At 37.7% G+C, this 17,843-nt stretch overlaps 1 protein-coding gene across 24 annotated transcripts in view; it reads right to left on the bottom strand.

The window, feature by feature from the left end:
• Window positions 1-17,843, bottom strand: part of NRG3 (neuregulin 3) — a 1,111,986-nt gene that overhangs the window by 1,056,187 nt on the left and 37,956 nt on the right. The window lies entirely within an intron of this gene.

The raw sequence follows: 17,843 nt of genomic DNA, 5'->3' as shown, positions 1-17,843 counted from the left end.
GAACAATCAGCCTGTTTTATAGCCTCCCACTTTTCAGCCTGTTTTTTACAAACCGTCCATGGAATGCAGTCACCTAGTCAGCTGGAACCAGTTCCAGACAGACCCCAGCAACTTATAGATGAATCTGAGTGAAGCTTCCTCATTACCATGCTAAAGTCTCTACGCTGGGAGGAGCTACAGATTCATCACCATAACATGTAACCTATGTGCTGGCATAATGTCTCAGTCTGCACCACTGGTGCCCCTCCTCTACATGCGATGATGCACCTTCTCCCCTCTCCACAACTCCATAAAACCCACCTGTCACTTTTCCTCGGGGAGACACTGCTTTGGAGAATATTCCCGGTGTTCTCCTACCTTGGGACAAGTAATAAAACTCCTATAGATCAAAACCTATGTTCTCCTGGAGAGTCGTTTGTTACTTGCCAGGCAAATGAACCAAGTTTTTTGTCTTTTTGTTTCCTTTTTCTTTTTTTTTTTTTCCAGGTAATAGTGACAAGCCCTTATTCTACAAGAAGAGAGCACAAAAGCTCTGTTTGAGACCCTCTCAGAAACTGCCCTGTGTGTCTCTTCATTCAGCTGCTCCTGAGTTGTATCTTCTACAATAAAACTGTAAGTATAATGCTTTCCTGAATTCTGTGTCATTCTAGTGAATTTTTGAGCTTCAGGAACGTCATGGGAAGCTCAGGGATTTGCAGCCTCTGAGTATGAAGCGAGGACCATCTTGCTGGAGACCATACTCTTTAACTTATGGGGTCTGCACTAACTCCAGATGGTTATGAGAACTGAATTGCAGTGTACCAGTTTGAGTTGAAACGGTATGTGACTTCCCCAGCTGCACCCTGGGCAGTGACTGCATGCATCACTGAGAGGTCCTGTCTACAGCAGATAAAACTCCACAGATCACTCCTCCTGTAATCCCTCTAAGTGCTCCAAGGCAGCAGAAAGGCCCAGTGCATTGAGGCTGGAAGCAGGAGCAGAGACTCTGGGATATAGTGCGAAAGTCTCTTTCCCCTGTAGTTGGGCTAATCTGGAAAAACTCAAAAACCTGGCCTGATTACCGAGGTTTCTTTTATGGATATTTAGTATTTAGATAAAATTTTTACAGTATTCTTGAAATGAACCCAATTAAACACATAGTTCTCAGTCTTGACCACACATTAGAATCATCTGGTAGACTTCTGTAAACTACCAATGCCTGGCCAGATAAATTCAACCATCATTTTTGAGGAATAAACTGAGGTGATTCTGCTGTGCCTAGCATTAAGAAACATTGGATAGAGTGCAATGAGAGTGAAAGAGTTTTTGGAGCCTGGAGCTTCACTACACTCCTGAACCTGCCTTTGTTCAAGGGAACAGGCATGCTAGGGAAATACATTGTAGTCAACTTCTTCCTAAACTTGGGAAAGAGAAGCCTGATGAAGGAGCTGGTTATCACCTAAAAGAAAAAAATGTGTTTCAGTCACCCAACCCATCATGAGGAGCCTGGGCTCCATAGCCCAGCTACACCATGCAAAACGGCCGCTGGGTATTTGGAAATGAAATTCAACCGAAGCATGGTATGGAAGCTACAAACTCACTTCTCAACATTTCATACTGCATCTTTCATAGATGTTTCTCAAAGGATTATTATGTTTTAATTCTTAGGCACATGATCAAGGTCCATTTGAGAGGAATCCAACTTTTGTTAGATTGGTATTGCAGGGATTTTAGAAACATTGAGGAGGAGAAGAACAGATGGAGAGGGAGGTTGTCTGCACACAAAATTAAATATTTATTAGGTTGTTCACCATAATTGACTAAATTTTCCATGTCATGACGTAGGCCACTCTGCTTGACAGAAAAGTCAATTTAAAAAAAAGTGACTCAGCCCTGTGGTGGCTCACACCTGTAATCCCAACACTTTGGGAGGTCAAGGTGGGAGAACTGCGCGTGCCCAGAAGTTCAAGACAGACTGGGCAACATAGCAAGACTTTGTCTCTACAAATCAAATAAATTTAAAAATTAGCTAGGCATGGTAGTGTGTGACTGTGGCCCCAGCTACTTGGAAGGCTCAGGTGGGAGGATCACTTGGGCCCTGGAGGGCCAGGTTGCAGTGAGCCATGATCATTCCACTTCACTCCAGCCTGGTGACAGAGCTAAACTCTCAAAAAAAAATTGTTCTTTAACTTGTCTTATTACTTTCTAACTGATAATGTTTATAATTCATTTCAGTACATAGAGATATATTTAAAATTTAAACCTTTTAAAATACTATTACGGCTCTTATTATGATTATACATGACACCTATTCAATCACTTCTCTATTGGTGGACATTTAGGATATTTATACATTTTTGCTACTGCATGGAATGTACCCATGTACCCATAAGGGTAGGGCAGGGAGGGCAGTTTCATGTTATTCCTATATTTGCTTCATGTTTTTATAATTTGGGAACAATATTTGATAAGCCATGAGCTTTTATGTTTTAAAATAAAGCACTCAATTCTTTATGATGGATTTTTATACAGCTATTTCAAATAATTTGTTTTAATATCTCTTGGCTTCAATCAGTTTTGAGGTTTTTAAGACCCAAATGTAGTTGGTCCTAATGCTGGGTCTACATTGCAATCACCTGGGGAAACTCCGCACTACCTGAGAAAGAGGAGGGAGGTGGAGTGACTCTTTCAATCAGAATCCCTGCAGGGGAGACAGGCTCTGGATATTCTGGTAAAAAGCTTTCCAAGTGGTGGTAACCTGCTGCTGGGGTTAAGGACAAATGCTCTAGAATGTACATCATTAAACTGTAGATGCTACATAATATGTTACTTCCTTTAAAAATAACCAGCAGATAAACTGTTTCACAAAGTGGTTAAGTGAGAATAAGTACAGTTTAGCTTATTATGAGGTCAATATATTTCTTTAAGATTTGCAGTTGAATCTGTTTGAACCCAAGCTGTGATTTACTTGTAAAGATGTATTGATTTGGTGACAACTATGAATCCATATGTAAAAACCAATTTATTATTTATAATAAAAGTCACTTAGATTTATTATTATTAGGTTGGAATTTGGTATCTTATTGCTACAAGGAATCTGTTTTCTCAGTCTTAAGATCTCTGTTTTAACTTTAATGCTGATCAGTTGTGTCTGAGTTCCAAAGAGAGGAGAGTATAATGAGGCACACTGGACCCCTCTTCGCATCCTGGCTTGAACTCCCTTTTCAAGTTTACTTTGGAATACTCATGGCCAAGAGGGGGTCCATCAGTCAGTTGAGGGGCTTAGAATTTTGTTTTTGGTTTACAGTATTATCAATGCAAGACGTTAATTAGGGGAAACTAAAGGCAAGGGTGAGAGGGAGTTTATGGAACCTCTGAACTTCCCAATCAATTTTTTTGTAAATCGAAGACACAAAGTCTATCATTTAAAATAAATAAATAATGACTAAGTAAATAAATATGTAAAGTTGGGTAGATTTTTAATGTTCTTGAACTTAATTTGTTCTATTTCTCATTAATTAATAGCAACCCAAATATAGTTCATTTTTAGCATATTAAGTTGATCTCAACATAGTTAATATTCACTTTTAATAGTCAGAATTGACATTTTAGCAAAGGTGTTGTAATTTTAGAACATTTGACCCACCTTTAAGTTCTCAGAGGTGGATATTTAGACTACGACCATTCTCCTTTACACAGAAAATAAAAATTACAGCAGATAGGATATTAATAATTCAGTTTATGAAGGCAAGAAAAAAAGAGAAACAGAAAAAATAATTTGGCGTTTACTTTCTAAGCAATTCTTGATCAGCTTAGGCATATGTTTTGTGTCAAGCCAAAAGTAAGTAAAGGATATATGATCATATTCATCTTATACTTGCTAAAAGAAGAATTGCCATTGACCCAAAAATTCTCTAGTAATTTATTTTTATCTCTTGGCCTAACAGGGAGCACAATGATCCAATCATCGATTAGAATCTCCTTGGTTAGTTTTATTTTTAAGTCATTACATTACAATACTGTCGCCACACGCAATGCCATAAAATCCAGAGCATGCTCGGCCCTTTATGCACTTTATCTTACTGAGTTGTCACAACCCCTCTTCCGGGTAAATATTATTATCTCATTTATATACTTTTACTGAGATTCAGAGTAGTTAAAACCTTGCCCAAGGCCACGTGACTAATAAGTGGCAGTCAGGGTACATCTACGGATTAAAACTGGAGATTAAACTCTTATAATTTAGGGAACTCCATTCCTTCTGGTACTCAACCTTGCTCATAAACCAGCTTTGTTTTTTAGTTTACACCTTTATCTTCATAACTGATTTGGGAAGGCAGGGTTAATAAGTAGGACTTCCACAATAAAAGATTGGGAAGCAAACATAGTAAACTCAGAACAAAGTGAGCTGTTTAATTACACAAACACTTGTCATGTGGCATAAATAAAATCTGCTAAAATTAGCAGGATCCTTAAAAAAAAATAAAAATTAAATTCTATTTTATCTTATAAAAAGTTTTCAGTTATGTGGGTAAATTCTCTATATCACTCTCTAGCTTAACCGGATATTCTCTTCTCTAAAGTAGCATTATGGGCTGGGCATGGTGGCTCACACCTATAATCCCAGCAATTTGGGAGGCCAAGGCGGATGTATTACTTGACGTCAGGAGTTCAAGACCAATCTGACCAAATGGTGAAAACCTGTCTCTACTAAAAATACAAAAAAAAAGTATCTGGCTATGGTTGCGGGTGCCTGTAATCCCAGCTACTCCGGAGACTGAGGCAGGAGATTCACTTGAACCCAGGAGGCAGAGGTTGCAGTGAGCCGAGATTGTGCCACTGCACTCCAGCCTGGGAAACAAAGTTAGACTCCATCTCAAAAATAATAAATAAATAAATAAATAAAGTAGCAATATGGCCCTTGCTTCTACAAATTTTCTTTAAATATTCATAAGATAGAGGAAAATTACATTCGCATCCCAATCTTACTGCTGTCTATGCCACGGCCAATTTTTCCTATAGCTGAACATGGTCCTTCAGCAGATACCTCTCTTACAGTCACTGTAATTTAGGCCTCTTCACCTTTGAGGGGAGAGCTATACAAAAGAATCATCATGTCTCCCTGATGTTTAATCAGGGCTCAGCATGCTAAGGTCCTTTTATGAAAGCTCCCTGGCAGGAAATCAAAGTTCCTTTCTTCAAAAACAATAAAACATAAAACAGAGGAATCCATCTGTCAATCAAGATGGATTTCTCTTTTTTTTTTAAAAAAAAAGTTTTTTCAGAAAATAAAAAGCTTTCACACTAATTAATAGCCATTAAAGCTCCTACCAGTTTAAAGCTTGAGCAAAGTCAAGAATTATCCAGCTAATTCAAATCCAGAAGGTACTTTTTCATCACTCATCTGGATTGACAAAAGAAAGTATTTCCCTAAAAAAGACCAGGATAATTAATTCCAATTTGCACTTCATATTTGCAAGCACAACCTCAGTGTGGCAGCCCTTACAAATTTCCCTGGAGTATGATAATTATAATCAATTATTCAGAATTAGATCCAAGTCCATACATATCTATTGCTTCCACATCATGCCATGTTAGGTCTTGGAAATGCAGAAATGATTAATTCAAACCCTTGCTTTGGAACTGTATACAGGTGATCAGAATTCTGCTTCCTAGATGGAGTTTCCCAATTCTATATTCTGTTGCACAAAGTGATGAAAGTCAGACTAGACCAAAGGTTCCACATGTGCCTCAATTCCCTCTATATCATGCCTCCCGAGTGATTACACTGCCCATGGCTGCATGCTTGTCAAGATAGGCTTTTACATCTTTGGACAGCTCTTTAATAAAATCATTTTGATGTCTGCCAGTATAATTGGTGGTAACAATTAATGGCCTGTAATTTATCTGGGGAAGCTCTTTGAGACCTGAAGCACAACAGGGAAGAAATCTCACAGGGGTCAAATGATGACTTTCTCTAAATAGCTTTGAATCAAACACACAGAGCATAGGACTGAAAGGAAGCTTGACAATCTAAAAGCATATTTAATTATTCCCCTTCTTTAGGCCTTTTTTTTCTCTTTCACCTGCAAATATACAAATGTCATATATGTCCCTCCTCCCTCATCCTCAAAACACACACAAGAACTACAGAATAGTAATTATCAAACAGGAAATCCACTCAATTAAACAACAGTAACTGTACACATTGTTATGGATGCTGGCCATTTTCCTCCAGTGACCGACCTTCTTTGATCTGAATAATACCAGCAAACCAAGAAGCAAATGAGCACACTGGACAAAAGGCCTAAAACTTTGGCTAACGAAATTAATTCGAACGATGGTCTAGAGTCTTAAAAAGCCCCATAATAGAAAGTCCACATTCCCTACCTCACATGTTGATGGCCATCTTAAACAAACCAGTCGAAACAGGACATTTCTGGACTCTGTCCACCCAAATGAACTCCCTGGTGTAACTCATGCTTATAAGAAAGCTGAACAGCTCACAAGAAAACTTGTAAAATAGCCTGTGATCTTTAGGGGGAAGACCACAAGCTCACCCAAGGGTACATGGAGGAAAAGCCCAGTCTAGCAAATGTCCTCTATGTAAACAGCTTTGAAGTTCAGACAACTGTCTTTCTAAATGCTTTTATTTACATTGTGGTGTAACTACAGTAAAACAAATGATGATAAAGTGATTTGGATATAATGAGAAAGTACTTTAGGAGCATATTTCTGTTACCTTAATACAAACATCATTTCTACTAATTATGAGTTGGAAAAGATACACATTGTTGTGGTAACCTCTGAAGAGCAAGAGCTGTGTACGTGTTCTGTGCCTCCTATAGTCACCACCAGCCCTACCTGCTCCCATCCACAAACTGTGAATGACAACATGACCCCAAGTTATCTCCCACTACTTCTCTCTACTAATCCCACCGGGGTCAGTCCTACTGGGCTCCCAATCACCTGCCTGTATCCTGTCCACTGCATTCACTCAGCATTCATCCTACAAACATTTAACGAGCACCTATTTCAGTGCTGCAGACATACAACAAGACTGCTGGCCTAAGGCACATACGCAGCCTGTTTCTACATGCTCACCCTATAAATATTCTCCCCATGCCACCTGAGGGCAAAGGCCTCTGCTAGCAGAGTAGGTGGAAAAAAGAACAAGGTGGGTTTCCAAACATGCAAACGTCATACAGTACAATTAAGGCTATACCACAGTCTGAACAAAACATTATGTGGTTCAGAGAAGGGACAGAAGATAAAACAAGGGGGAATTTGTGGAAGGCTTAAGAGAAACAGCATTCTCCGGGGGTCTTGGAGAAGATGGACACTGTTTTACAGCTGACAGCACCCCAGGCTGAGGAGGAAGAATTTCCAAGTGTCTCTTAGGAGTGTGGGAAAATGGAGGAGAAAACAAAGCTGGGGCTCAGGTTTGAGAGGCACCTGGAGTCAGCGCATGAAGGCTTTGTTGCCTACCCCACAAGAAATTCCAAATTCGGCCGGGCGCGGTGGCTCACGCCTGTAATCCCAGCACGTTGGGAGGCCGAGGCGGGCGGATCACCAGGTCAGGAGATCGAGACCATTCTGGCTAACACGATGAAACCCCGTCTCTACTAAAAATACAAAAAATTAGCCGGGCGCGGTGGCGGGCGCCTGTAGTCCCAGCTACTCGGGAGGCTGAGGCAGGAGAATGGCGTGAACCCGGGAGGCGGAGCTTGCAGTGAGCCGAGATCGCGCCACCGCATTCCAAATTCGATTGAGTAAGTAAAGCAGTTGCCCACAGGTAGGTAGTCTGATCAGAGTTGTGAGTTAGAAAGATGATTTTAAAGTGAAATTCTAATCTCATTAAGAGATAAAACAGAAATGCACTATATTAGACACAGGAGACTTGATAAAAACACATGTTTAAGAATATTAAACTCTCATTATTTCCTAATAATATGTAAATTACCAAAATTACTAGAGGCATTAGAAAATCTGTAACCACCACTGAAAACATTTTGCAGGTGATTTCATTTTTAGAAACTTTTTTGAATATGTCAAACATGTATAAAAGCAAAACAATGTACAAGGAACCAGCCCATATACTCAGAGTTTTATAATACTCCCACAGATCCTCCCTCCATGCTGTTCCTGAGGCTCTTTTTAAGCAAATCCTAGACATTCTATAAATCTGTCAGCAAATATTTGGGACATTTAAAAATATTTTTAAGAACAATCATTCCAAACCCAGCTCACACGTAAATTCTTTCAAATATTTTCTCTCTGGAGCACTGAAAAGGATGGAATGCTTTACAAATCAAGAATCTAGCATCAACTGATGCCCACACCTGACCCCCCGAAAGACAGGAAAAGAAAAAACTAAAGACAAATTTTTATATGAATGTAAATCTGAAATCCTAATTATTAAATCAATGTCTTGTTTTGGGCAGCAATGGAGATAAACTGGAGGCCATTCTCTTAAGTGAAATAACTCAGAAACGAAAAGTCAAATACTGCATGTTCACACTATAAGTAGGAGCTAAATAATATGTACATATGCACATAGAGTGTGGAATAATAGACATTAGAAACTTGGAAGGGTGGAAGGATGTGAGGGTGTAAGGAATGAGAAATTACTTAAGTGGTACAATGTATACTATTCAAGTGATGGTTACACTAAAAGCTACTACTGAGCAAAATATCTATGTAACAAAACTGCACTTGTGTTATTCAAAAAAGTCATGTAATAATACAAAACATTATCATAGGAGGATTTGTTAAAAAACGATCAAGTTAGTGCCAATATAAGGGATTCTAAATTTAACCCCTAATATAACTAAGTCAAAAAATTTTTTAACAAATGATGAGATGACAAAAAAAGTCGTTAACTATTTCAACATTGATTCCTAATTTAAAATGTCTAAATAGCAATAGTGGGCATTTAAACTGGATAGTATAATACCTGGGGCATTCCATTTAAATCAAGAAATGAGACAAGGATAAAATGCAAACACTTGGGAATATACTGTATAAGACCTTATTATATGAAGGGAACCATAACATTTCCACAAAAGGACAGAAAAGAAGGCTTGAATAGAGAGACAAATGTTGCTATAGGATAAAAAATGATATTGCAAAGAACCTACTTCTCAAATTAACATAAATGTCATTTCCATTCATAGTTTCACTAGAAATTGTATTGGAGTTCCAACAAATAAGTCTAAATTTCATAAGAAGTGAAAACAGTCAGAACATTTTTAAGATGTGCATTACTAGTTATTGAAAATTTCCCTGAATGTTATAGTGCTTGCTACTAAAAAGGAATGGCCAGAACAACAAAACAGACTAAATATGTACAAGCAGTCAAAATTACACACTGGATCCTTTATTCTCATCAAAAATAACCTAAGAAACATTAAATCTTACAAATAAAAAATCCAATCATAAACATAGTAGGCATAAATGTAGACAGATAGATAGATATTTCAATAATTGGAATTGAGGAAAGTCTTACTTAACAAGTTAAAAACCATAAAAGAAAAGACTAAGAGGTTTGACTTGGGGAAAAATCCAGATAGATATTAAGCAGACAGACTATGTGAAGCAAAACTACTTGGCATTTCTTTCAGAGATGGAGTTACTATTATTAATACATATTAAGAACTATCTAAAATAAGATAATGAAGTATAAATACCTCCAGGATTAGGCAAATATTATAAGCAAACAAATCACAATCAAGAATATACAAATAAATAATACAATTAGCAATTATAATTAGTGGAGATTAGCATGACAATATGATGGAATCCCATTTTTCTCCCATCAAAGTGGGAGAAAAGGCTTTTATTTGTTTATTTATTTATTTATTATAACAAGCCTCAGTATTGGCTAAGAATCCAAGAAGGGGCACTCTCAAACATTCCCATTTCACATAAATCAATATCAATATTTTAAAATCAATTTGCAAATACATACCAAAAAGACTTAAAATGTAAATACCATTTGACCATAAAATACATTCTGGCAAAATATATCCTAAAATGTTATTATGAATATAAGTAAACATGTAGCCACAACCTATCACTTTCATATTAGGTTATGAGAAAAACATTAGAAGAAACATATATAAAAATGAACAAAGGAATCCTGTTCTGTTCTATACAATTAATTTCTGTTCAGATTGTAAAAAATGTTACTGAAGTAGATGTATAACAAGGAAAAATGTTCACAAAACATTAAGTGAATAAGATGAATTAGAAAAATGTGAGCCCATGTTTTGTGAAATAAGATGTGTACTTACTGACGTGTACTACTATTCATAATATTATAAATTTGGAAGTATATCTAAAAATAAGCAAAAGCATTAGCTTTCTGGGGTTGGCATAATTACAGATTATTTGAATTTGATTTTGTTTAAACCTATATCAAAATTTTCCAAATTGAATATCCATATGCTATTTGGGAAGAAAAGCTTGAAAAGTTCACAACAAATTGATGTCATAAAGTATCATTTTTTTTTTAGACATGGATAGTCATGCTTATTAAACCTGAGTGGGCTGTGATCAATGCTTAGAAGGAAGGAGACTAGAGGGAGGCCCCCTAGTGGTGGGGGCTAAGATTAGGGGTGCCTGGGCAGCAAAGCACCAGGAATCGATGCCACAGATTCTTCAAAACTCCAATCAAATAGAGTGAGGAACCCTTCGAATTTTCTTTTTGGTTGCAGGGTGCTAAGGGTGAGGAGCATTGACTTTAAGATTTCCTGTCCTGCCAAGCAGGTGGCAGGTGCTTCAGTTGATCCAGCAAGATCTCATCTCTTTTCCAGCCCTCCTTTTCCCAGCGTGCTCCCTGCACACTTCTTCAAAAGTGAAGTCAAGGCTCCCTTTCTCATAGTGTCATCCTTACACCTCAGGCCATAAGACAGCTGTGTCCACTGAACTCCAGCAGAATTCTTTCCATCATCATCTGGTACTTGATATTCATTCTGCCTTGAGGCACGTCTTATAAAGTTATTTTTATTGTTATTTAATTTTTCGTATATTAGTGTATCTGTCAGATGTGGCTAGCAGTAGCGGGGAAGAACAAAATCAAGAAAGAAAACTTCAAATAAGGCCTTGCCAAGAATAAAACACAATTGACGGCAGGTTTCCTGGTTGGCTGCACTCACCCCTCATTGCCACTGTTTCTGCTCAGCTCTGCTTGTGTAATTGCCCCTCAGACCAACTTCTGAGGTGATACCTCTGGACATTCATGGGTGTCTCATTTTGTCGAGTGCCTTAGTGCTTCATTTGCCTTGGTTTTGGTGTCCCAAAATCTCCTCAATATCTAATCTCAGTTTCCCTCAATAATTTTTGGGGGAACCTGTCATTTGCCATGTCCATGTTGGCAATGAAATTGATACTTAATAAGAATTCCACCCCATCTTTAATACAAACACACAATCTTTTTATCCCTTACTAGACTATAAATTCTTTGAAGCAATGGATTATATTTGATGATGATGATGATGATGAAGTTAATGAAAATAACACCCCAGGCAATGTTATTTATGAGTTCATAATACATGCTGTAATCTCTGCACGCTGCTACCAATCCTGACACAACTTCAAAATAAGTATTACCATTCTGCCATCACAGATTAGGGAGGAGACGTTCAAAGAGGTTTAAGAGGCAGATCAGATCAAGTGTCGACGCTCGGTTTTGAAGCAATGTCCATCTGATTTTCAGCGCTGCCACACTTATATCCTATTCTTATATATTCTTATATCCTATCCTAACTCAGCACTTCTTTTCAGCCCTGGGGCCCATGCCATCCCTTCAAGTGCTCTATCCCCTAGTCCCATACATATGAAGTTCTAGGCTAAGCCTTTTCCATACAAACTCTCAGTTAATTCCAACAAGAATTCAACAGATGGGTTACTGAATTTAAAAATATTTATTACATTTACTTCCCCCAAACACAATGGAAACAGGAGGGCTATATAGTATAATTGAACCAAAGCTGTGTGTGTGTGTGTGTGTATGTATGTGTGTGTGTGTGTGTGTGTTTTGTTATGATGCAATAGTAGTTAATGATTTGAAATAAATAAATAAATAAGCAATGTGTTGTTAAACACCAGATGTATTTCAAAACTCGTTTGACAGAAAATTGCAATGATTCTATTCAATGCTTATGGCCAGTTTTGTGTTTGTTTTTGTTTTTTGCAAAAATCCTAGTAGTATGAACAAAGTCAAGGAAACCAGTTGCAGCAGGTAAAATACAGAGAAAAAATTAACAGCATTTCATTAGTAAAATAAAATAATACAGCTCTCTATCAGCAAGTCCTCATTTGCCTAAAGCATCTTCTTTTGACTGAATTTAAAATAATTTTCCAATAATATCAAAGAAAAGAGGTGCATGCTACACATGCAAATAAGGCATTAATTAAAATGGCTTCCCTTTATGCTTCATTACTAACTGCTAAACAGAGCATATAAAATATCATTTATAAATAGAAAAATCCAGAACACAGGGTAATAGGGAAATAAATGGCCTTGTATTTCTTTTGTACGTGATAAAAAGCAGATGATGGAGTACCTGATCTGAGAAATCCAAAATGTTGTCACAGATTTATACTTGTGTTTACTCTGCCCATATAACAGAGAGATATCCCAAATGGCCAATATCATATGTGAATTCAAGCCTGAGTCAGAGGACTGCAGTTCTTTAAATCAATTCACTGGGAAACTAGTCCTTGACCTATAAAGAAACATTCCAAATACAACAAATGCATGAGCCAGCTTAAATCCTTTCTGGAATAAGATGGGGAATATATAGATGAAAAAACAGCACATGAATGAATATGAATACATAAATCCACTTTCAAAAATATTTCACAGAGCTGCTTCTTAAAAATGTCAAATGGTGACCAAAACACATTTCAGCATGAAAAAACTATTTCTGTTCCACTCGGGACACAGATCCATTGTATTTTCTGAGCATGGCATATGGATTCGGATGACAAAGATAATAAACATTCCTGTAAAAAGTTACTCCCTCATGCACAAGCCATGGTATTCCATTGTATTAAACTCATCAGTCCGCCACTTTTGTCTAAAACATGCGAAAAGAGAAAACCACACCCATGTCTCCTGAAAAGTACTAGTCATAGAAATGACTTTCCCCTCCTGAAAGCTCACAATGATTCCTGCAGTGCCCAATGCTCTCAGTTTTGTCCCTGTCAAGTACAGCTTGGAGGGGGGTCAGGGAAAAACACGTTTTCTAAAATGCATGAAACTAGCTTTGTGAAGTGAAAGACAAACTGTATCTATGTGCTGGATGATAAACCAGTACACGCATAGTTGAATAGTTAATATTTCAAGTACATGACTATTTGAATTTTTAAAACTGCCCTCCTCTTACAATAGTTATGTTGCATATTATTGCCATAGTCAAAGGGTTTTACCCCTGGGGTTTTTTGCAAAGGGTTTTTACCTACTCTCAAGGTAATTTATACAAACACTTCTCTTATTTTGAAGGGGACAGGAATAGTTTTATTCATTTATTTATTCATTTGTTCATCTTTCCATCCATCTAGTCATTTAGTTCATCTATTTGAAACATATTTTGAGGAGCTATTTTGTGTACAAGACACACGTAGTGGCTGGAGAGAAAAGGCAGATAAAACATGCTCATGTATAACTATAATCAAAAGAGAAGGTTATTATGCACCAAGAGATGTGTAAATTGTTTGGGGAGAGCCGAGGAAGGAGAGATGCATTCCAAATAAGGGACTTGAAGTGGGGCTCTTTATAGAAAGTGGCCTCTGAATTGGTTCTTGAATAAGTTAATTTAAGTACACTTAATAATTTAATTTTAATCTAAGCTGGTTAAAATCAGACATGCAATCAAGCTTCTCCATTCATACAGATACATGTTTTAATCTCTGACTAGTTATTTATATTTTGAGCCATGGTATTGTCTAATTTGAAGAGAATTATAAGCTAAAATTATATGTTTTGGGGTTGGATAAAACTGGGCCAAAGTTTTGGTCCCTCTACTTAATACCCATGTGGTCCTAGTCCCACTTCTTAACATCAGTGTATTTACAATTTCATCATTAATTAATGGAGATAATAATAGTGCCTATTTCATGACATTTTTTGTAAAAATTAAGTTTGAAAATGTATTCAAACATTGGCGAACATGAGTTGGCACCTGGCAGAAAGGCAGTACAATTATTAGGCACTACTCATTGGCTGTCCTCATGGAACTCAGGAGATGCCCAAGAAAAGATGTGCCTCAAATACAAATCAAGGCCTGTAATTAGCAATGCCTGCCCTTCTACTAGAGTTTGTGCTCATAGCCACCTTCACTATGTATTTTTTCAGTCTCTGACACCTAAATAGTACACTACATCTCTTCGACAGCAGACCCTTGGGTTCGTTATTCTATTTCAGTTTCACCTGCTTTTAGGAGATGACTGTCTAGCTCTTCCTGATGCTACACAAAGCCCCCCAATGCCAATGTCTTTTATGTCACCTAGCCTATAATTGTAACTTGGATGATCCCAAAGCTACACTGCAAATTCATGAAAACTCATACTCAGCTGCTTCTGTATCATACAGTTAGCAAACAGATATCCAGAAACTTTACTTATACTATTTATTATTATGTTTCTTGATTCATTCATTAAATTCAAGTTATATGGTTATATAACCAAAATGTAGTAAACTGCAAATATTAGATGCCCAGTAAATACTTACTGAGGAGTAAAGGCTGTCTCATGGAAACAGCACTTTCTACTATGGGCCAGGTTGGTAAGGAATAAACCTGCACTGTCCAACATGGTCCCCACTAGCCATAAGTGGTGAAAAGGCCTTTGAAACATGGCTAGTCCGAACTGAGACATGCTCTAAGTAAAAAGTACGCACCAGAGTTTGAATATGTAGCATACAACTAAAAAAAGAATTTAAAATATTTCATTAATTTTTATGTTGATTACATGTTGAAATGATAATAATTTAGATATGTTAAGTGAGATCATTAAAATTAATTTGTCTATTTCTTTTTACTTTTTTCATATGGTTACAGATGGGGCTTATATTATATTTCTATGTATCTCTCATCTTGACCAAGAGACGGGCCTGTACCAAGAGCAGAGGAATAAGTAAGCATTTACTGAAACCTCAAAGCTTCCCTGATGTCCAGGCTGTCCAGAGGACAGAACAATTATCACCATTATCATGCTAATTTTCTGTCTCCTCAGCAGGTAGAAGGAATAAACCTGCATTCTCATCGAGGAGGCTCTCAGGGATCTCACAGAGAGGTGCTAGATAAACTCCAGGTGTCCTCCACATCTCAGCAGGAAGCTAACTCAGTATTCTCTCCTGATTCATTTACTGGAGTGATAAACCCACACTCCGTATTTAATGATGCCAAATAGCTCCTTATTACTTGTGGATTCAAGAAACTTCTGTAGCTGAGCACCAAGGATATTTTCCAACATTATTTGATGCCTTGTGTTTTGGCAAAAAAAAAAAAAACTAAAGAAGTGTGAGCTGACTTTAACAATTTCAGGAGAAACTTAAAGAAATAAGGTCCTAATTGCCCAACACCCACCTCATCTCCTTTTTGGCCACTCAGGAAAACCCTGTATTTTTCTGTAATTGTGCCATGATGAAGAATCTAGCCTCTCCAAGGCAGCTGACCAACCACGAGCAGAGCACATGCTTTTATACTCAATTCTGAATATCAAGCACAATCCAACCTACAACAAGCACTTGAGGGTCTGAGGATGGGAAAGCAAATAGCCTCAAGTCTGATTAATGCTTAAAATATAAAAAAGATCTTTTTTTAGGGAGGAGCAGTACAGCACACATCCCAGTGTTGCCACAAAAACCATATATTTAATACCTAATTTCCAAAGAGAATAGTCCCTTAATGAGAAGCAAACTTTTAATAAGTTATAAATTATCCCAATGCAAGCCATTTCTCCACGTGATCTTTGATAAAAACAAAACTGGAGCCTTCACAGGATACACTAATTAATGAATCATAACTTAAATAAATAGCAGCTAGTATTTGTGTCGTTAGTTTAAAAGTACTTTCATATCTTATTTGAATCATCAGATAATCTATAACTCACATAAAGGAGGCCCTGTTTTCTCTGTTTTACAGATAAGGAAAACCCAAGAGTTTACACCCAGTAAATGACCAAAGCAAAAATGGAATCATACAATTCATGTCTTTCTTTTTTTTTTTTTTTTTTTTGCTTTCTGTTTTTAAAGACAGGCTATCACTCTGTTGTCCAGACTGGAGTACAGTGACATGATCACAGTTCACTGCATCCTTGAACTCCTGAGTTTAAGCAATCCTCCTGCTTCAGCCTCCTGAGTAGCTAGAACTACAGGCACACACCCCCATGCCCAGCTGATTTTTAAATTTTTGTTTGTTTGTTTGTTTGTTTGTTTTCAGAAACAGGGTCTCGCAATGTTGCCCAGGCTGGTCTCGAACTCCCAGTCTCAACCAATCCTGCTGCCTCGGCCTCCCAAAGTACTGGGATTATAGGTGTGAGCCACTGCGCCTGGCCAATTCAAGTCTCCTAAGAGCAAATTGAGCATTTTTGAAATGTACCCATCAGATGCCCCACTGCAATCTACTTCAGTGCTGAGATTTCAGTATTTGAAAGACCTACTGGAATTTATTTTTAAAATTCTAAAAGAATACGTGGGCATGGTCCTTGGAGTTGTGAGTGCTGGATACAAATATGAAGTTACATGAAGAGGAGTGTGAAAAGAATTGAAGAAATTTTAAGTGATTTTTAATTTTATTTTTTATTATAAAGGTAATACGTGTTCATTGTAAAAATATAAACTATATTTAATTTCCCATAATTTCACAGCCAGAGAAAACCATCAGGAATACGTCAATAATTACTGCTGTGCATGCAGAGGTGATGGTCGATATATTTAGCCAATGTGGCATGCCAGAAGCAGAGGACAGCCCTTACAGCTGCCCGCCTTAGAGAGTGTGCATAGCTGTACCGCTTGATACAAGTGCCACAAGAGCTCTGGATGTATGCCATGTTTTTAATGGAATCATACAATTTTACAGATTTTCAACCTCCTTTTTAAAAGCTGAAATATATTTTAAACATCTTTTAAAGTATGTTTCAATTTTTCTATATACATAAAGTCTGCACTGGAGTAAAAGTGTGATCTCCCTTCTGGAAAGAAAAGGCTGTGATTCACGGTGGCTTTCGTTATTTATCAGACATTCCACGTGGATTCACCAACCATCTCTACTTCAAAAGTGCTGGCTGGGAGCGGTGGCTCATGCCTGTAATCCCAGCACTTTGGGAGGCTGAGGTGGGCAGATCACCTGAGGCCACGAGTTCGAGACCAGCCTGGCCAACATGGTGAAACCCCACCTCTACCAAAAATACAAAAATTAGCTGGGCCTGATGGTGCGTGCTTGTAATCCCAGCTACTTGGGAGGCTGAGGCAGGAGAATCACTTGAACCCGGGAGGCAGAGGTTGCAGTGAGCCGAGAACACACCACTGCACTCCAGCCTGGAAAGCAGAGTGAGACTCTGTCTCAAAGAAAAAAAAAAAAGAAAAAAGTCCTGAGTGAGAGTATGGTGCTGGGTAAGAACAAGTAAGAAAAGCCACGGTTCTGCCCTTAAGAACTTAAAAAGACAGTAATAGCACTTGGCTCTGCATGAGGACGCTGGTCAATGGAGCACCTGGGCTCATTATTCCAAAGGTGGTGAGGAGGAGAAGTACAAGTTTCACTGCTCTGCTCTTTGAAGCTCCATTATAGCTTCTGCTAAATAACCTTTCTTGACCAAGCCCTTGGTTACTCCATCAATGAGTGTTGAATAAATTCAAC

The sequence above is a fragment of the Homo sapiens genome, chromosome 10, assembly GCF_000001405.40.
Source record: "Homo sapiens chromosome 10, GRCh38.p14 Primary Assembly".
Lineage (NCBI taxonomy): Eukaryota > Metazoa > Chordata > Mammalia > Primates > Hominidae > Homo > Homo sapiens.
This window is presented reverse-complemented; position numbering and strand designations above follow the sequence as displayed.